Genomic DNA, 21,533 nt, shown 5'->3' with positions numbered 1-21,533 from the left:
TCTCAGATAATTAAAACCTTGAAAAACTCATGAGAGATCACAAGTAGAACCTTGATCTGAAACGGCATGTAGCGATTTATATTGAGTATTAGGTTAAAAATGCAAGAATGGAGCATAGTTAATATTTTACGTTAAAGCTAAAACTATAATTGCCTACTTAAAATTTTCAGTTAATTAGGTTGTCACTTTTTGTTCTTAACCAAGAAATCAACTAGTTTTAGTCCATAAACAGTTAGAACTGATGCACACATCCGTTTCTCCTTACTCATTTTAAACAGCTATCTGAAATAGGAAGCGTAATATAATCTTTAAAGAATCTGAAAACATGACAGAAATGTTTAAACTATAAACATATATTGTATATGTTAGCATATTGTATACATTGCATATTAACATAAGCTAGAATCATTGACATAAATTTATATAAACGAAAGGTGTAACATATGACAATGTTCTTCTTGATTTTTGTCTTTGCATATTTCTTTATTGGCCCTTGTCAAATGTGACCCACTAACTCCTGAATACTTTCTCCCTCCCCATTGATTCCTAAGGATGTCACCACAGTGTTGGCCAGATGCACAGGTCACAGGGGACTGAATCTCATCACCCCACAAACATACCATTCAGGTTTTGCCAAGAATGACACTGTAAATGTAACAAAGCTTCCGTGCTTGTTAGTGAACACCAACTCAGCTCCTCTCCTGTATTCAGAAATCAGGATGAGATGAAAACAACAAGCAGGCCAGTCTCGGTGGCTCACGCCTGTAATCCCAGCCCTTTGGGAGGACGAGGCAGGTGGATCACCTGTGGTCGGGAGTTTGAGACCACCCTGATCAAAACAGAGAAACCCCATCTCTACTAAACATACAAAATTAGCCGGGCATGGTGGCAAATGCCTGTAATACCAGCTACTCAGGAGCTGAGGCAGGAGAATTGCTTGAACCCGGGAGGTGGAGGCTGCAGTGAGCCGAGATCACACCACTGTCCTCTAGCCTGGACAACAAGAGTGAAACTCTGTCTCAAAAGAAAAAAAAAATTAAAAATAAAAGAACAAGGAAACAAAAGTAACAAGGCTTGACACCAGATGAGCCTGAATCTAAGCAAGAAAAGCCCAGAAGAAATCCCATTTTGGGTCACTGGCTGCATGGTAGTAATACCATACACATAAGGGAAGAGAAGAGGATGTGGCTTTCAGTTTGAATTTTTTGAGCTTAAGGTAAATTTTGTGTAGCTACAAAGAAGCATTCAACAGAGAGTTAAACCTATGATGGAAAGACTGAAGGGGTCCAAGCTGTAGAGAAACAGGACTGCAAACCACAAAGGGCTGAATCAGTCAAGGAGAACTGCAGGGCGGGATGAACAGGGACTAATGGAACATTTGGATAAGCTGTTGAGAAGAAAGGAGAATTCAGAGAAAAAGAACTGTCAGTGAGGTCATAATAGAAACTGTTACAGTGAACTAAATATGGCCTGGGAAGGACTCTGTACTTCTAGATTTGAGTCCCTGTGGACAAACTGCAACCTAAATTAATAGGTAGAAAGACTGAAAACCTAACTTAGGAGTATGCGCCTGTAACTATAGCTGAGTCCTGGCCAATCCCAACTGCCAAACTTCTGCCACTCACACACTGCTGAGTGTTCAGCTGTGTTCAGATAAGGCAAATGCTGAGCACTGGAACCAGTCCAGTTGTTTCTGGACCTCACTGCTGAGAACTGTAAGGGACCCAGTTGCTTCTGGACCTCACTTCTCACTTCAGATTTCTGTACATCACGTTCCCTTTATTGTCTATAAATCTTCCACCATGTAGCTGTGCTGGAGTCTCACCAAATCTGCTGTGATTCTGGGGGCTGCCTGATTCGTGAATCATTCATTGCTCAATTAAGTTCCTTTAAATTTAATTCAGCTGAAGATTTTCTTTTAATAGATGGTGTCAGAAGTGGGATCTGTGGGAGCAGGACTGCTAGGGCCTCCGGAGCTATAGTGTGGTGAGCAGTGTTGCTAGGGCTTCTAATGACCCCCAGGAGTGCTGAGGTACAAGAAAGGCACCTGCAAGGACTGCTCTGTGATGGCAGCAGTGGTCCACGTGGAGCAGTTGCTACGGAGACACTGGCTGCAGTGGGGAGGAGTGGCTGGGGCTGTGCGCTCCTCGAAGCTGGTGGGAGCCAGGAACGGGTGGGAGCCCCACCCCTTCTAAATTGGCAAGCAGGAGCCCCGCCCTCCCAGGCACAGCTGCAGCCATCCAGCCATGACTGCAAACCCGGGCATCTTTGCACTCTTAGAGGCCCAGCAAGCCCCCTGCCCCCACAGGCTCAGTCGTACCTGGTCCCACCATCTGGCATCTCTCCACTCCCAGAGCCCACTCCAACTTCGGATCCAAGTTGAGGCTGAACCCAGGCACAGTCGCAACCCGGCCCGGTTTGTGCAAGCTCAGGGCAGTGCTGACATGCCAGCCTCCTGCCACCTCAGCCCCCTCCAGACTTTGGGCAGTGACGAGCACAAGAGGGAGGTTGAGGTGGGTCTAAGAGTGGCTCAGCACTGGCCTGAAGGCACTCCTCAGCTCGAACAGCCTCAGCAATGTGGGAACAGCTAACCACAGTGCGTCTCTCTCAGCTGCTGAGAGCTGAACAGATTTTGGGATGACCTGCCTGCAGAAAGGAGTTACCCACTGCAGTTCTCCTCTGAGCTCTACTGTTGCTCAATAAAGCACCTCTTCACCTTGCTCACCTTCTACTTGCCCACATACCTCATTCTTCCTGGACTCAGGACAAGAACTCGGGACCTGCCAACTAGCAGGGCTGAAAGAGGTGTAACATAAACAGGGCTGAAACGCACCCCTTGCTTACCAAATTGCAGGCAAGAAGAAGAGAAGAGAGAAGGAGACAAGAGCTGTGGCCCTTCAGGGAGCCCAGACCTAGGAGCTCCCCAAGCCAGGGCTGTGATGCCTTCTTTGGGGCTCTGCAGTTCCTGCATCTCCAAGTTTCCAGGCACCACTGCATTCCCTGATACACACAGTGGAAGCTGTTTGCAGTCGGTCTGGTCCAGCTGCAGCCTCACAGGGAGCTGGCACCTGTGCCGGTACCTGGAGCTGCCCACCCCACTGCAGCTGGCATGCTTGGCTGTGTGCAGTGGTCAGATCCCATGCTTGCTTGCTCACACACCATTCACTGCTCTGTACCCAGCTCATCCTTGGCAGGTGTGGGATCCACACCACTAGCATGAGCCGAGTGGACAGAACGAACCCAGTGGGCCCGAGCAAAACACAGGTAAAGGCACCACCAGCCAGAGGTTTCAGGCAGAAAAGTGACGTCTCAGGATTCTGTAACACTTGTGCACTTTGACCTCTCAGAGCAGCTGGGGATCATGGTAAATTCTCTCTCGGATTTCATAGCTCCATGGATTTGTGTTTTGAGCTCTGAGTTTCTTTGAGCAATTTTCTGTTCCAAACTGCTATCCAGCCATGACTGACTGGATGTTTTAGAACATCCAGAAACGGGACAGTGTCCAGGATCAGATTTGATCCAGTAGTTAACTGTCTTGAATCCAGTTCCAGTTAGAGACCTCCTACATCTGAATGGGTCAGAAGGAAAGTGGTAGTAAATGATAATTTTGGAGGGTTGTAAAATTTGGCTTTTGAAAATTCACAGGGATTTTTGTGTTCTACCCCTTTGTTTCATTTTCCTCGCACGCTTAGGTAGGAAAAAAAATCATTGGCTAAGTCAATCAAGGGAACCTGGGAGTAAAGACAATATATTAGGTAACAATAGGATCATTAATTTCTGGAAAACTTAGTTCCTTCTGGCTAATTCATTAGGCCTGGGAAGCAGCAAAGTCTTACAGAAATGGCAAAATCTTACTAAAGATAACTTACAGTGGAACATTCCAAATGAATAATGCCCTGAAGTGCATTTAAAAATGAGGGCTCCCAAATTAGTCTCGTCTAGGGATGCCTATTAATATGCAGAAGCTTCTAAAAAGATTTAGAGGTGGCACGGCCTATCTGAGAGCAAGTTTGGGTCTTACCAGTTTGACACTGGGTGCTAAGCAAAGTGGCACGTGTCTATGTTTTGTCACATGTATTTTGCTCTGAGCAGAATGAAAAATGTTAATTTGGTTACTCCAAGCAACCCCTTGGGCAGCATCTTACAAAGCTGAGTGGATTCTTCTTGTGGCTCCATGATTATCATTGTGATGCAGTTTGGCCCCAGAGCTATAATATGGTGAGGAGGGTGACAGAGCAAGACGTTATCTTTAAAAAAAATGGCCAGGGACAGTGGCTCACACCTGTAATCCCAACACTTGGGGAGGCCGAGACAGGTGGATCACCTGAGGTCAGGAGTTCAGGGCCAGCCTGACCAACAAGGAAAAACCCCGTCTCTACTAAAAACACAAAATTAGCTGGGCATGGTGTGACATGTCTCTAATCCCAGCTACTCAGGAGGCTGGGGCGGGAGAATTGCTTGAACCTGGGAGGCAGGGGGTTGCAGTAAACCGAGATTGCATCATTGCACACCAGCCTGGGCAACAAGAGGGAAAATCCACCTCAAAAAAAGGAAAGAATAATAGATTTGCCTATAAGGTTTTATGAAAAAGTGGGTGACATTTGGCTTTCTCTCTTTAAAGAAGATTTTCAGAAAATATTAAAAAATAATGGGAGGAGAAGCCAAGATGGCCGAATAGGAACAGCTCGAGTCTACCGCTCCCAGCATGAGCGACGCAGAAGACGGGTGATTTCTGCATTTCCTTTTGAGGTACTGGGTTCATCTCACTAGGGAGTGCCAGACAGTGGGTGCAGGACAGTGGGTGAAGTGCACTGTGCACTAGCTGAAGCAGGGCGAGTCATTGCCTCACTCGGGAAGTGCAAGGGGTCAGGGAGTTAGTTCTCTTTCCTGGTCAAAGAAAGGGGTGACAGACGGCACCTGGAAAATCGGGCCACTCCTACCCTAACACTGTGCTTTTCCGACGGGCTTAGGAAATGGCACCCCAGGAGATTATATCCGGCACCTGCCTCGGAGGGTCCTACGCACACGGAGTCTCGCTGATTGCTAACACAGCAGTCTGAGATCAAACTGCAAGGCAGCAGCAAGGCTGGGGGAGGGGCACTGGCTATTGCCCAGGCTCTCTTAAGTAAACAAAGCATCCAGGAAGCTCGAACTGGGTGGAGCCCAACACAGCTCAAGGAGGCCGTCCTGCCTCTGCAGGCTCCACCTCTGGGGGCAGGGCACAGACAAACAAAAAGACAGCAGTAACCTCTGCAGACTTAAATGTCCCTGTCTGACAGCTTTGAGGAGAGCAGTGGTTCTCCCAGCATGCAGCTGGAGATCTGAGAATGGGCAGACTGCCTCCTCAAGTGGGTCCCTGACCCTGACCCCCAAGCAGCCTAATTGGGAGGCGCCCCCCAGTAGGGGCAGACTGACACCTCACACAACCGGGTACTCCTCTGAGACAAAAATTCCAGAGGAACGATCAGACAGCAGCATTCGCGGATCACGAAAATCCACGGTTTTGCAGACACCACTGCTGATACCCAGGCAAACAGGGTCTGCAATGGGCCTCTAGCAAACTCCAACAGACCTGAAGCTGAGGGTCATGTCTTTTAGAAGGAAAACTAACAAACAGAAAGGACATCCACACCAAAAACCCATCTGTACATCACCATGATCAAAGACCAAAAGTAGATAAAACCACAAAGATGGGGAAAAAACAGAGCAGAAAAACTGGAAACTCTAAAAAGCAGAGCACCTCTCCTCTGCCAAAGGAATGCAGTTCCTCACCAGCAATGGAACAAAGCTGGACAGAGAATGACTTTGACGAGTTGAGAGAAGAGGGCCTCAAACGATCAAACTACTCCGAGCTACAGGAGGAAATTCAAACCAAAGGCAAAGAAGTTGAAAACTTTGAAAAAACTTTAGACGAATGTGTAACTAGAATAACCAATATAGAGAAGTGCTTAAAGGAGCTGATGGAGCTGAAAGCCAAGGCTCGAGAACTATGTGAAGAATGCAGAAGCCTCAGGAGATGATGAGATCAACTGGAAGAAAGCGTATCAGTGATGAAAGATGAAATGAATGAAATGAAGCAAGAAGGGAAGTTTAGAAAAAAAAGAATAAAAAGAAATGAACAAAGCCTCCAAGAAATATGGGACTATGTGAAAAGACCAAATCTGCGTCTGATTGGTGTACCTGAAAATGACGGGGAGAATGGAACCAAGTTGGAAAACACTCTGCAGGATATCATCCAGGAGAACTTCCCCAATCCAGCAAAGCAAGCCAACATTCAGATTCGGGAAATACAGAGAACACCACAAAGATACTCCTCGAGAACAGCAACTCCAAGACATATAATTGTGAGATTCACCAAAGTTGAAATGAAGAAAAAAATGTTAAGGGCAACCAGAGAGAAAGGTCAGGTTACCCACAAAGGGAAGCCCATCAGAATAACTGCTGATCTCTCGGCAGAAACTCTACAAGCAAGAAGAGAGTGGGTGCCAACATTCAACAATCTTACAGAAAAGAATTTTCAACCCAGAATTTCATATTCAGCCAAACTAAGCTTCATAAGTGAAGGAGAAATAAAATACTTTACAGACAAGCAAATGCTGAGCGATTTTGTCACCACCAGGCCTGCCCTAAAAGAGCTCCTGAAGGAAGCACTAAACATGGAAAGGCACAATCGGTACCAGCCACTGCAAAAACATGCCAAATTGTAAAGAACATCAAGACTAGGAAGAAACTGCGTCAATTAACGAGCAAAATAACCAGCTAACATCATAATGACAGGATCAAATTCACACATAACAATATTAACTTTAAATGTAAATGGACTAAATGCTCCAATTAAAAGACACAGACTGGCAAATTGGATAAAGAGTCAAGACCCATTAGTGTGCTGTATTCAGGAAACCCATGTCACGTGCAGAGACACACATAGGCTCAAAATAAAAGGATGGAGGAAGATCTACCAAGCAAATGGAAAACAAAAAAAAGGCAGGGGTTGCAATCCTAGACTCTGATAAAACAGACTGTAAACCAACAAAGATCAAAAGAGACAAAGAAGACCATTACATAATGGTAAAGGGATCAATTCAACAAGAAGAGCTAACTGTCCTAAATATATATGCACCCAATACAGGAGCACCCAGATTCATAAAGCAAGTCCTGAGTGACCTACAAAGAGACTTAGACTCCCACACAATAATAATGGGAGACTTTAACACCCCACTGTCAACATTAGACAGATCAATAAGACAGAAATTTCACAAGGATACCAAGGAATTGAACTCAGCTCTGCACCAAGAGGACCTAATAGACATCTACAGAACTCTCCAACCCAAATCAATAGAATATACATTTTTTCAGCACCACACCACACCTATTCCAAAATTGACCACATACTTGGAAGTAAAGCCCTCTTCAGCAAATGTAAAAGAACAGAAATTAAACTGTCTCTCAGACCACAGTGCAATCAAACTAGAACTCGGCATTAAGAAACTCACTCAAAACTGCTCAACTACATGGAAACTGAACAACCTGCTCCTGAATGACTACTGGGTACGTAACAAAATGAAGGCAGAAATAAAGATGTTCTTTAAAACCAACGAGAACAAAGACACAACATACCAGAATCTCTGGGACACATTCAAAGCAGTGTGTACAGGGAAATTTATAACACTAAATGCCCACAAGGGAAAGCAGGAAAGATCCAAAATTGACACTCTAACATCACAATTGAAAGAACTAGAAAAGCAGGAGCAAACACATTCAAAAGCTAGCAGAAGGCAAGAAATAACTAAAATCAGAGCAGAACTGAAGGAAATAGCAACAAAAAAACGCTTCAAAATATTAATGAATCCAGGAGCTGGTTTTTTGAAAGGATGAACAAAATTGATACACTGCTAGCAGGACTAATAAAGAAAAAAGAGAGAAGAATCAAATAGACACAATAAAAATAATAAAGGGGATATCACCACTGATCCCTCATAAATACAAACTACCATCAGAGAATACTACAAACACCTCTACACAAATAAACTAGAAAATCTAGAAGAAATGGATAAATTCCTCCACGCATACACTCTCCCAAGACTAAACCAGGAAGAAGTTGAATCTCTGAATAGACCAATAACAGGATCTGAAATTGTGGCAATAATCAATAGCTTACCAACCAAAAAGAGTCCAGGACCAGATGGATTCACAGCCAAATTCTACCAGAGGTACAAGGAGGAGCTGGTACCATTCCTTCTGAAACTATTCCAATCAATAGAAAAAGAAAGAATCCTCCCTAACTCAATTTATGAGGCCAGCATCATCCTGATACCAAAGCCGGGAAGAGACACAACCAAAACAGAGAATTTTAGACCAATATCCTTGATGAACATTGATGCAAAAATCCTCAATAAAATACTGGCAAACCGAATCCAGCAGCACATAAAAAAGCTTATCCACCATGATCAAGTGGGTTTCATCCCTGGGATGCAAGGCTGGTTCAATATACACAAATCAATAAAAGTAATCCAGCATATAAACAGAACCAAAGACAAAAACCACACGATTATCTCAATAGATGCAGAAAAGGCCTTTGACAAAATTCAACAGCGCTTCATGCTAAAAACTCTCAATAAATTAGGTATTGATGGGACTTATCTCAAAATAATAAGAGCTATCTATGACAAACCCACAGTCAATATCATACTGAATGGGCAAAAACTAGAAGCATTCCCTTTGAAAACGGGCACAAGACAGGGATGCCCTCTCTCATCACTCCTATTCAACATAGTGTTGGAAGTTCTGGCCAGGGCAATCAGGCAGGAGAAGGAAATAAAGGGTATTCAATTAGGAAAAGAGGAAGTCAAATTGTCCCTCTTTGCAAATGACATGATTGTATATCTAGAAAACCCCATTGTCTCAGCCCAAAATCTCCTTAAGCTGATGATAAGTAACCTCAGCAAAGTCTCAGGATACAAAATCAATGTACAAAAATCACAAGCATTCTTATACACCAATAACAGACAAACAGAGAGCCAAATCATGAGTGAACTCCCATTCGCAATTGCTTCAAAGAGAATAAAATACTTAGGAATCCAATTTACAAGGGACATGAAGGACCTCTTCAAGGAGAACTACAAACCACTGCTCAATGAAATAAAAGAGGATACAAACAAATGGAAGAACATTCCATACTCATGGATAGGAAGAATCAATATCATGAAAATGGCCATACTGCCCAAGGTAATTTATAGATTCAATGCCATCTCCATCAAGCTACCAATGACTTTCTTCACAGAATTGGAAAAAACTACTTTAAAGTTCATATGGAACCAAAAAAGGGTCTGCATCACCAAGTCAATCCTAAGCCAAAAGAACAAAGCTGGAGGCATCACCCTACCTGACTTCAAACTATACTACAAGGCTACAGTAACCAAAAGAGCATGATACGGATACCAAAACAGAGATATAGACCAATGGAACAGCACAGAGCCCTCAGAAATAATGCCGCATATCTACAACTATCTGATCTTTGACAAACCTGACAAAAACAAGGAGTGGATCCCCTATTTAATAAATGGTGCTGGGAAAACTGGCTAGCAATATGTAGAAAGCTGAAACTGGATCCCTTCCTTACACCTTATACAAAAATTAATTCAAGATGGATTAAAGACTTAAATGTTAGAACTGAAACCATAAAAACCCTAGAAGTAAAACTAGGCATTACCATTCAGGACATAGGCATGGGCAAAGACTTCATGTCTAAAACACCAGAAGCAATGGCAACAAAAGCCAAAATTGACAAATGGGATCTAATTAAACTAAAGAGCTTCTGCACAGCAAAAGAAACTGCCATCAGAGTGAACAGGCAACCTACAAAATGGGAGAAAATTTTTGCAACTTACTCATTTGACAAAGGGCTAATATCCAGAATCTACAACGAACGTAAACAAATTTACAAGAAAAGAAATACAACCCCATCAAAAAGTGGGTGAAGGATATGAACAGACACTTCTCAAAAGAAGACCTTTATGCAGCCAAAAGACACATGAAAAAATGCTCATCATCACTGGCCATCATAGAAATGCAAATCAAAACCACAATGAGATACCATCTCACACCAGTTAGAATCGCAATCATTAAAAAGTCAGGAAACAACAGGTGCTGCAGAGGATGTGGAGAAATAGAAACACTTTTAAACTGTTGGTGGGACTGCAAACTAGTTCAACGATTGTGGAAGTCAGTGTGGCGATTCCTCAAGTATCTGGAACTAGAAATACCATTTGATCCAGCCATCCCATTAGTGGGTATATAACCAAAGGACTATAAATCATGCTGCTATAAACACACATGCACATGTATGTTTATTGCCGCACTATTCACAATAGCAAAGACTTGGAACCAACACAAATGTCCAACAACGATAGACTGGATTGAGAAATTATGGCACATATACACCATGGAATACTATGCAGCCATAAAAAATGATGAGTTCATGTCCTTTGTAGGGATATGGATGAAATTGGAAATCATCATTCTCAGTAAACTATCGCAAGGACAAAAAACCAAACACTGTATGTTCTCATTCATAGATGGGAATTGAACAATGAGAACACATGGACACAGGAAGGGGAACATCACACTCTGGGGACTGTTGTGGGGTGGGCAGGGGGAGGAGGGATAGCATTAGGAGATATACCTAATGCTAAATGACGAGTTAATGGGTGTAGCACACCAGACTGGCACATGTATACATATGTAACTAACTGGCACATTGTGCACATAAACCGTAAAACTTAAAGTATAATAATAATAATAGTAATGATAAAATAAAATAATGAAAAATTTGTTTGCCTTGTAAATAAATTACCAAAAAAAAAAGGAAAAACAAGAGGCAGATTATTTGTGGAGATAAGTCTTCCCCCTATCAATGAGTAAAGATTTTTGCCCTTTAAAAATTTTTTAAGTCATGATTTTAGGTAAATGAATGACTTACGTTGACGTGGAATTCTATTTCATAACATCAAGTGTTTAAACCTTTAATATATTTAATAGGCTTCCCAAAATCAAATTGCATCTTCAAAATTTTATGTTCTGACCTCTAACTTTGGGATACTACAGAGGCCCCTGAAGCACCCAAAAGAGAGGTAAACAGGACTATTTAACATGTTAATTCACATGGCTAGCACTGTCAAAATAAAAAATAATGTTGAACCTTCTTTAGGTTATATTCAGTGTGTCATCAATCCATTCTAAAATTGTATAGGATTTCTAAAATTCTTGTATTTTTTTTTTTCTGAGAAGGAGTCTTTCTCTGTCACCCAGGCTGGAGTACAGTGGTGCAATCTCAGTTCACTGCAACCTCCACCTCCCGGGTTCATGCCATTCTCCTGCCTCAGCCTCCTGAGTAGCTGGGACTACAGGCACCCACCACCATGCCAGGCTAATTTTTGTATTTTTAGCAAAGACGGATTTCACTGTGTTAGCCAGGATGGTCTCGATCTCCTGACCTCATGATCCTTCCACCTCGGCCTCCCAAAGAGCTGGGATTACAGGCATGAGCCACCACATCCACCCTAATTATGGTTATTAAGTTATTGTAGACCACAGAAATAACCAAATTTCCTTGTCATTTGTCTTTATCTATAACTATTTAAAGTCATTTCCACAGTTAATTGCTTAATGGTGATGCAGTTTCTAAAAACTTCACAAGCATGCAAAATTCTAGAATATGGTGTCTCTTAGAAGATTCATGAAAGAATGAAAAGGATCCTGAAAAACACTCGTGAACACAGATTTTTAATAACTTTAATATCATGGGTAAAAATTCCCCATAAGTTCCCTGATACCCCAAGAATTGGACAGGTTAAGAATTCTCAAAAGTTAGGCTGGGTGCAGCGGCTCACGTCGGCAATCCCAGCACTTTGGGAGGCCAAGGCCAGTGGATCACTTGAGGTCAGGAGTTTGAGACCAGCCTGGCCAACGGTGAAACCCCACCTCTACTAAAAATGTAAAAATTAGCTGAGTGTGGTGGTATGTGCCTGTAATCCCAGCTACTCTGGAGGCTGAGGCAAGAGAATTGCTTGAACCCAGGAGGTGGAGGTTGCAGTGAGCCAAGATTGTGCCACTGCACTACAACCTAGGTAACAGAGTGAGACTCTGTCTCAAAAAAAAATCCCAAAAATTTAATAAAAAGACCAACTGGTTTATAAAACTGCTAACCTAAGTAAAACAAAAATTGTATACCAAGGAAATATTTTGCCACATTTGCATGCTAAATCACCAATATTGAAATTGATTAGATATATAATTTAAATAATCTCCATGGTCTAAGTCAAATCACCTATAACTACTCATCAGTTACCAGTGCCATGCACCTAATTTGGAGAAACAGCTGGTATTCAAGAGGATGTAAGTCTAATGTTAATTAAGCACAGACTTATGAAGAACCAGGATGGCCACCTTATCCTTCTTAAGTCCTTAAAACTTTTGTTATTAAAAGTTCTGCATTCCATAACTCATCATGGAAAGAGAAAATGATCCAAATTAAATATATTGGTGTGGTGATTTCTAAACTGCTAAAATAGTTTATAACCAATGTTTGGTTTGTCAATACTATATTTCTAGGAAAACAATCAAAACTTCAGGTACATTTGGTTACCTGATGGGCCATTTAAACATTTTATAAAGGGATTTCATTCAGTTTTCATTTTCAGTGCATGTTTTCTGATTGTATAAAAACTTCCATGCGAGAGAATTGATGTTAAAACAGTAGATAATTACCCTGAAGTGTATTTTCACCAGGTAAAGAAAGCCTTTTATGGTTCACTGAGGACAGTCAAACCCTTCAAAATCTAGAATCTGATGACTGGATCTTCTGAGAACATCAGAGAAGGACTGCCCTTGCCATCCACATGACAGCAAAAATTTAAAACCTTAAACTTTGGGTTCATAGTCTCACAACTCAGAAGGGTCCCTCCACACTCGGAACCATATGCCCATTGGAACCCTTAAGGTAAAGCTAACAAGGACAGTTCCCCCCAGAAGAAGATGGCATCCTTAATGTGAACAGCTTTTCCCAAGATCACAGATCAAGACTTCTCTACTATCATGAGACACTTATCTTAAGTATCTGTGCAGCTGCTAACACTTACAGCATGTGGAGAAAACATGGTGTATTATAAAGATTTGGTTGTAGGGAATTAACAAAAAAACCCACTTAGTTAAGCAAGTAAACTCTTTATCTAATTCATTCTTTAATCTATTTGATTTTAGGTGGTTTGATTTATGGGGACCCTGAGTTAGGAGCATATACCAAATTCTTGGTGTTATCCCAAGAGTCATAAGAGTCTCCCTGGTGCACTGTACTTACTCAAATGTTTTAAGAGTTTGCATGCAGGCATCTCTAAAATATCAAATGGTATCTCTTCAACTGGAATGACAAGAGATTAAAAAAAAGTGCAACCATAAGGACACCGTAACCTATGAGTGACATGCTAAACCGGAAACCCAAAACAATGGGGGTGACATGCTAAACCAGAAACCCAAAACAATGGGAGCGATGTACTAAAACTGGAACCCAAAACAATGGGAGTGATGTGCACTAAAACCAGAACCCAAAACAATGGGAGTGACGTGCTAAACCAGAAACCCAAAACAATGGGAGTGACTTGCTAAAACTGGAACCCAAAACAATGGGAGTGACGTGCCAAAAGCGGAAACGAAAACAAGGGGAGTGATGTGCTTAAACCAGAACCCAAAACAATGGGAGTGACCTGCGAAACCAGAAACCCAAAACAATGGGAGTGACGTGCTAAACCAGAAACCCAAAACAATGAGAGTGATATACTAAAACTGGAACCCAGAACAATGGGGGTGACGAACACTAAAATCAGAATCCAAAACAATGGGAGTGACTTGCTAAAACTGGAACCCAAAACAATGGGAGTGATGTGCTAAAACCGGAAATGAAAACAATGGGAGTGATGTGCTAAAACCGGAACCCAAAACAATGGGAGTGACCTGCTAAACCAGAAACCCCAAACAATGGGAGCATCCTGCTAAACCAGAAACCGAAAACAATTGGAGTGATCTGCTAAACCAGAAACCCAAAACAATGGGAGTGACGTGCTAAAACTGGAACCCAAAACAATGGGAGTGACGTGCTAAAACCGGAACCCAAAACAGTGGGAGTGACCTGCTAAACCAGAAACCCAAAACAATGGGAGTGACGTGCTAAAACCAGAAACCCAAAACAATGGGATCATCCTGCTAAACCAGAAACCCAAAACAATGGGAGTGACGTGCTAAAACCAGAACCCAAAACAATGGGATCATCCTGCTAAACCAGAAACCCAAAACAGTGGTAACTAAGAGTGATGCTAAGGCCCTACATTTTGGTCACACTCTCAACTAAGTGAGAACTTGACTGAAAAGGAGGACTTTTTTTTTCTAATACAGAGTCTTGGTCTGTCCCCCAGAGTGGAGTGCAGTGGCACAATCTTGGCTCACTGCAAGCTCTGCCTCCCAGGTTCAGGCCATTCTCCTACCTCAGCCTCCTGAGTAGCTGGGACTACAGGCACCCACCAACACACTTCGCTAATTTTTTGTATTTTTAGTAGAGATGGGGTTTCACCATATTAGCAAGGATGGTCTCAATCTCCTGACCTCGTGATCTGCCCACCTCAGCCTCCCAAAGTGCTGGGATTACATGTGTGAGCCACCGCGCCCAGCCAAAAGGAGGAATTTTTTTAAGCAAAATTATGGGAGGCCATTGTTTTGAACTAAACTCATGCAATAGGTCCCAACAGACCAAACCAAACCAAAATGGAGTCACTCATGCTAAATGTAACATAATCAAACTAAGACTTTAAGGAAACACATAAATCCTAGAACAAACTAGGTTTTGTTTTTCTCCTGTAAACAGGATGTTCCAGCATAAGAAGATACCTTCTACTCAAGTCCTTGTTCCACCTTTTCAAATCTCACTGGTCTATTTCCCAGTGGGTTTCTAAACCAAGTAAGTACATTTGCAATGGTAATAGTCACACCAGTGACTGAAGTTTTGGCCAATCTCTCATAATTGAGAAAATAACCAAAGGGAAGGCATTGTTAAAGTGAACTAAGTATGGCCTGAGAAGGACTCCATAATTCTATATATGAGTCCTTGTGGATGAACTGTAACCTACCTTAATAGGTATACAAGAATGAAAAACTAACTTAAGAGTATGCACCTGGAACAACAGCTACATCTTGGCCAATCCCAATGACCAAACTTCAACCACTCAGGCACTGCCAAATGTTCAAAATGTGTTCAAACAAGGCAAACACTGAGTTGTTTCGGTACCTCACTTCCGATTTCGGTATGCTATTTTCCTTTTGTCTATAAATCTTCTTCCATCACATGACTGCGCTGGAGTCTCTGTGAATCTGCTGTGATTCTGGGGACTGCATGATTCGTGAATCGTTTATTACTCTATTAAACTCCTTTAAAGTTTTTCTTTTAACAGAACTAACACAGAAGAATTTCCAGATCATGAACAGATGTTTTGTAATACCCAACGTTGTAACATGAATAGACTCTTCCTTAGATAGCTAACCTTGTTTTTAATATGAATAGACTCTCCCTTAGCTGAGAAAACCAGACAAACTCCATTTGGCTCCTTCATTTACAAGACATCAAGGGCTCCCTACCCACCCCCTTTCCTCAAGGACTTTAACTTGTGCAAGCTGACTTTCAACATATCAAAGAGTGGAATTAACTGATAAAGTGCTGAGACAAGCGATGTCTGCAGTTCCCAGCAATTTATTCAGAGATAGTATCATAAAGCCCCACATTTGTCTGGCAGATATTGCCCAGAGCCCCCTCACCTATCACTTTGTGGTGAATTTAAAGCCCCTGCACCGGGAACAGTTTGTTTTCCTGTAACCATCTGTCTTTTTAAATTTTTTGTCTGTTATTATCTTCTGTAAAGTTGCTGCAGCTAGAATCCCCCCTCCCCTCTTTAAACCAAAGTATAAAAGAAAATCTTGTCCCTTCTTCGGGGCCGAGAGAATTTCGTGCGTTAGCTGTCTCTCAGTCACCAGCTAATAAAGGACCCCTGAATTCGTCTCAAAGTGTGGCGTTTATCTCTAAATCACTCGGGTACGACAGTTTCAACTATGGTAGAAGACTTGAGTAAGGCAAATACAGTCCCCCTAAATTTGACTATTATTTACGTTAATGGTGAGTTTAGAAGAAATAAGTTAAGACTACAAAGAGTGGGCTAAAGTGCAAATAAACACTGGAAATATTTCCCAGAAAATATGACTTTGAACAGGCTGCTGCACACCCTGCATGTAGAGATAAACTAAGAAAAATGTCTGGAGAGTTATTTAAGGACCTATGGTTAACTCAGTACTCAAGATGTTCTGGGTTTCATCCATGAATCAAGGAGGACCTCCCAAAAGCTGTTTGGGACCACACTCTTTGAGCAATGAGCACAACTTACGATGGAAGCTGTGCTTTAGCGGAAGATGACCGTTTCCACTGCACAACACTACAAGTGGTTAATGCCAGGCCGGTGTGAAATATGTTCCAGCACATAATCTATGTCACCAATGAAGGTGGTGGTTCGGACTTGGTACACACAAGCTTTCCTGTCCCACAAGAACACTGCATGCTCTCTTCTCGGGTTCCATTCCAATCACGTAACAAATATGACTGCCTTTTTTGTCTCGGCATCAGAAAGATCAGAGGAAAATTTCCACCCAACTTAGACAACTCTAAGCTCTTATAACCTGCCTATATCTACAGGTCAGCTTTATCTTATTTATGTATATTTCCTTCAACCTGAGTTTTACTTATTTCTACTTTTCCTTTTTAATTCACAGACACCCATAAACTCAGAAAATACAGTGTAAAACAAAGTGAAGAACAAGTAAACAACTCACCAGATATTTATTCGTTTCTTGTTGCTCTTGGAAACACCCAGAGGACACTGGAAACATAGCTGGGATAGAAGGCAAATGACGTGGATTAAGGAGAGAACTGGTGTGGTGTGGTCCCAGATTCTTCTGCCCAATGCTCTAGACACATTACCTGGGAAAGCCCTCCTCCCTCCTGAAAAAGAAAAACTTCCCCGTGGGAGAAGAGTCCTTCACGCCTCATTAGGGGCAGCAGAGGCTCAAGTTAAGATAAGATACATAGACAAGTACATTAATTGGTAGACATTAGATGCACAATTTATTTTTGAATAAAAATATGTATTACCTACTAATTTAGTAACAATATTATCTAAAGATATAATCTAATAATTTAATACAAAGAAACATTATAAGTTCACTAAAATAAATGTTATAGAAATATACTGGGCTGTATTAACTATTTTCCTATTAATATGTAGATTCCACAAATAACTTCATATGAGTGTTCCCATGACAGTACCTCTTGCTTTTCTATACCTGAACATCGTGGAAAGTGCATCTTGCAAACCAGCAATTTTGGCCTACAATTACGTTTTTTAAAATGTACATAATATGTATTTCCTGCAGTACACCATTCTACTCATGTTTCCCAATAACACCTTTCCTTCTATCCAAGCCCTCATATTATGCTCTGACAATAAATTGGGCTTTTCCATCTGACTTGTCCAGTGAATGGACAATGGAAAATGTGATGCAAATATCCATTGGTTCTTCCCTTTTTGGGAGAAATTTTGAAGAGGTCTGGAGCTACCCTGTTGGAGACACAGGGCCTAGCCAAGAGTCACCACAAACCACCAGATTGTGAAGGAAACTATCTTAAACCAACCAGGCTCAGTCAACGCACCAGGTGACTAAGGCCTTTTTGTAATCCAGGCAACACAAATATATCAACTACCCAGCTGAATCCACCACACCAAAGTGCAGATCCACAGAACTTCATACAAATAAAATGGTGATTGTTTTTTATAAGCCAGTAAGGTTTAATTAGTTCCTTAAACAGCAAGTATTAACTGTTACACCTAAGTGAACAGAATTCACTTCTGTGTTTTTAACAAAATTATGTAGGGGGAGAAAATCTTAAATTACAAATCAAATACAATCAATAGAACTTCGCAATCTAATGCTAAATTTGGGGATGGACTAGGTTTAATATATCTCAGACGCGAAAAAACGAGCTAAGATTGAAGGAATGGGACTGTGTTTGGAGAGTATTTTAATCCTCTCAAGTATGACAGGTCACTGCTGTACCCCAGACCACACTTTCAGGCCCCTTCAAATAAGGAATATTTCCTAAGTCCTTGCCTGTTCTTCTCAGCTGAATTCACCTCAACCTTCTGAAAGTTCGTCCAAACCTTCTACTATCACCTAGTCTTTGCAAATCTTGTGCATTCTAGGGAGTAGAATTAATATTTCCTGAGCAAGGAAAACTGGGATCTTCACCTGTGACCTTTTTTCCTCCTCTGAAGCACCAGTGAGAGGTTAGACCAGATGGCTGTTCTTTCAAGTGTGCTTCTTATTCATAGGGAACCCTCCCTTTCAAACTTTGTAACACACAGTTAAGACTGAAGTACCCTTAAGGCTGACGACCATCATCTATTATGCCATCTCCCTTGTGGAATCAGTGAGTTCTTCCCTGGAAACTAGGTCTCGTATAAACTTCTGTAAATGCGACCCAGGAGGACTAGGCAGGTCACACAGTGAAGGAGGGAACCAGAAACTTCACTTGCTAAAGAGACACCAGGAAACCCAACTAATACAAACACCAAGTTTAAGACTAGCGGCGCACGCGTTTCACACTACTCCTCTGGGAATGGGGAAAGTCTCCTGAGAACTGTGTGTTAGCACTGGGACAGATGGGCAAACTGAGCATCATGCTGGTTGGTAACCGTGTCCCTCAGCGGCAGGACAGGAGCGCGGCCTGCAGACTCTGGGCCTAGGGCCACTGGCCTCTCCTACCCGCTCCTGTGCCTCTAGAACCCGCTTCACTGCTGGGACCCCACGCCTGTCCTCCCAGCCTCCGCCTGGGTCCGTGGCCCGCACCTGCTCTTCAGGCCCTGCCCTCCCGCGATTCGCCCATGCGTCTGCTTCCACAACTAGGGAACACTGGTCCGGCCCCCTGGGATTCCCTGAGGCCTACGGGTTCCTCTTGGCCCTTGCACCGACCCACAGGGACATAGAACCAAGCCCCAAGCCGGCCCAGCTACAGGACCGACTCTGGGTGCCACACTTCCGGAGGAAAATGGCGGAGTGGGCCGGGCGGCGCATGCGCAGAGAGAAAAGCTGGTTCCCAAGGTCCTTGATGGTAACATCATTGGAAGGTGACACCACAATTCCCATGAGGCTTTGCGGTCCCCCGTTAGGAACCCACGCCGGACATTCTGTTTTGCCCAGCACTTGAGTCCAGTTACACAGAGACCCGGACTTAATGTATCAGGACTGGTCCCTACCCAGGTGACACAGATGTGGCATTCTGGTTCTTTATTAAATCCTGGTTTCACAGCCTGGGACATTGTGAAAATAATGGAGAAATTTCAATAGAGGCCAATTGGTCTATGCTATGAATGAGTAAGTTTTTTTTTTTTTTTGAGATGGAGTCTCACTCTGTCGCCCAGGCTGGAGTGCAATGGTGCAATCTTGGCTCACTGCAACCTCCGCTTCCCGGGTTCAAGCGATTCTCCTGCCTCAGCCTCCTAAGTACCTGGGATTACAGGCGTGCGCCACCACACTCGCCTAATTTTTGTATTTTTAGTAGAGACAGGTTTTCACCATGTTGGTCAGGCTGGTCTCCAACTCCTGACCTCGTGATCCGCCCTCCTCGGCCTCCCAAGGTGCTGGGATTACAAGCGTGAGCCACTGCGCCCAGCCCTCAAGTCTATTTTTTATAGATGCATTCGAAAGCATGAAAACAATCATGCCTCTATTTTACTTTAAAATTTTAAAAACACAACTAATGAATATGGTAATTCTCTTCCAATCCGTTATCTTTTCTCTCACTAAACTAATTTGTGAGCCTTCAATTACACAGTTAGAAAATATGCTCTAGTGCATATACTAGGATAAAATAACAGGGTCATAAGACAGGTGCACTCCATAATCTTTGTGACAACTTTCACTTCCAGTGTCTGATAAATATTTGCCCATAGACTCCCACGTTTCATCCATCCATCCATCCATCAATCAAATCTACCTATCTTTATTTATTTATTGTGAGAAAGACCTGAAATTTGCCTTTCCTTCCCTGATTTCTGCCACAACCTAGGCAAGGAGTTCTGTCTAGGGATTTCTCAGAGCTCCGGCTACCACCGAGGTTCCTAACAGGGAAACGCAGGCTTGAATGCTCAGGGTTGATGTGGGAGTGCATGTGAAACGGGGGTGGGGTGAAAGGGCAGTGACGTTTGTAGGTGGGCAGATGAGGGTGTTGATGGGCTTTCAGGTAAGAGGCACAGAGGAACCTGGGAGAGGCAGCGAAAGCACCTCACGCCTCAGATCACCAGAAGACGCTCCCACCAGTGCCATGACAGTTTGCCAATGCCATGGCATCATGAGAAGTCCCCACCCCTTGCCATGGAAACAGATGGAAGTTACTGCCCATTTCTAGCTATTTCTGAATAACCTGCCCCTTAATTAGCATGCCATTAAAAGTGAATTATAAAAATGACTACAAGCCACCCCTAGGCTGCTGCTCTGGGAGCACAACCCACGGAGGGCACCCTGCCCTGCCGGAGTGGATGCAGGGCTGTAACACCGCCAATGCCTCCGTAGAGCTGCTTTCTTCCACCACAGGCTTGCTTTTGGATTTCTTCCTGAGCGACGCCAAGAACCTGCCCTTCCTCAGTGTGACTCTTGCCTAAAACCTATCCCTGATATTCTCTTTTCCTAAGCATGCCTTGACTTGTTCTTTCATCTCCTCTGATCTTGCAATTGGTCCTCAGTGACTCTATTCTGCAGATCCAGAAAACTCAACCTTAATCTTCCCAGAGCCCTGTTGTCTCTAATATTGGAATCTCTAGCCTTGTTTTCTCAGACGCCTAGATTACAGGCTTCTCTCTTGAACACCTATTGGTATGGTATCCGGGGATCCTTTAAATACTTGATGATTGGCAGGGGTTAAATAGCGGAAATCAGTGCCTGATAATTCACCTTCCAGGATATGGACTGTCATTCCCTCTCTTGGTGGGCCTCAGTCTCTTATCCATAAAAGTAGAGTATATAATACTCATTTGAATTGCAGATACCTCAACCCGAACCCACCTAATATAATGTAAAAGCCAAGAATGCAACCCCTTTCTTCACCCCGTGAAGGTAAAGCCCTCAGAGCCAAGGAGAGAAGGCTCAGGGATGGTATCTGGGTGTTTCCAACGCTAACCATGTATTGTAGTTTTTAGTGTTCAAGTTTAAGCTTCCCCAGCTTTAATTCTATTGTAACAAGATTTATTTTTATAATTCCATTTTTGGATTCTTGATTTCTTGGTGAAGAAGTACAGTTATTTTTGTATACCAATCTTATATAGTGTTACATTCTTAAATTTGTTCATGAGTCCTAATACTTTTTAGTAAATTTCTTATGATTTTCTAAATGCAAGATC

At 42.6% G+C, this 21,533-nt stretch overlaps 2 long non-coding RNA genes across 2 annotated transcripts in view, besides 2 other annotated features; one reads left to right on the top strand and one right to left on the bottom strand.

Moving 5' to 3' along the window:
* The window catches only part of LINC01666 (long intergenic non-protein coding RNA 1666), a 46,880-nt gene extending 27,710 nt beyond the window's left edge, over positions 1-19,170 (bottom strand). Inside the window, exons 1-2 of the long non-coding RNA NR_187559.1 lie at positions 18,988-19,170; positions 16,915-16,973 (exon numbers count right to left, since the gene is read on the bottom strand). This is a non-coding gene — a long non-coding RNA (long intergenic non-protein coding RNA 1666). The remainder of the gene's footprint in view (positions 1-16,914; positions 16,974-18,987) is intronic.
* Positions 3,237-3,437: a silencer, noted in NCBI's record as "peak4328 fragment used in MPRA reporter construct". NCBI's record gives its function as "represses an SCP1 promoter by STARR-seq MPRAs in K562 erythroleukemia cells {active_cell/tissue: K562}" and the evidence as "EXISTENCE:reporter gene assay evidence [ECO:0000049][PMID:32103011]".
* Positions 13,366-13,927: an enhancer, noted in NCBI's record as "OCT4-NANOG hESC enhancer chr21:9653155-9653716 (GRCh37/hg19 assembly coordinates)". NCBI's record gives its function as "activates a minimal SCP1, AML or CMV promoter by ChIP-STARR-seq in naive H9 embryonic stem cells {active_cell/tissue: H9 hESC(naive)}" and the evidence as "EXISTENCE:reporter gene assay evidence [ECO:0000049][PMID:30033119]".
* LOC124904994 (uncharacterized) lies at positions 14,866-17,328 on the top strand. The gene is made up of 2 exons (XR_007067806.1): positions 14,866-15,001; positions 16,855-17,328. It is a non-coding gene; the product is annotated as an uncharacterized LOC124904994 (long non-coding RNA).
* Positions 19,171-21,533: the final 2,363 nt, after the last annotated feature.

The sequence above is a fragment of the Homo sapiens genome, chromosome 21 (genome assembly GCF_000001405.40).
Source record: "Homo sapiens chromosome 21, GRCh38.p14 Primary Assembly".
Taxonomy (NCBI): Eukaryota; Metazoa; Chordata; class Mammalia; order Primates; family Hominidae; genus Homo; species Homo sapiens.
The sequence above is the reverse complement of the archived record's forward strand: the minus strand, read 5'-3'. Positions and strand labels throughout refer to the sequence as shown.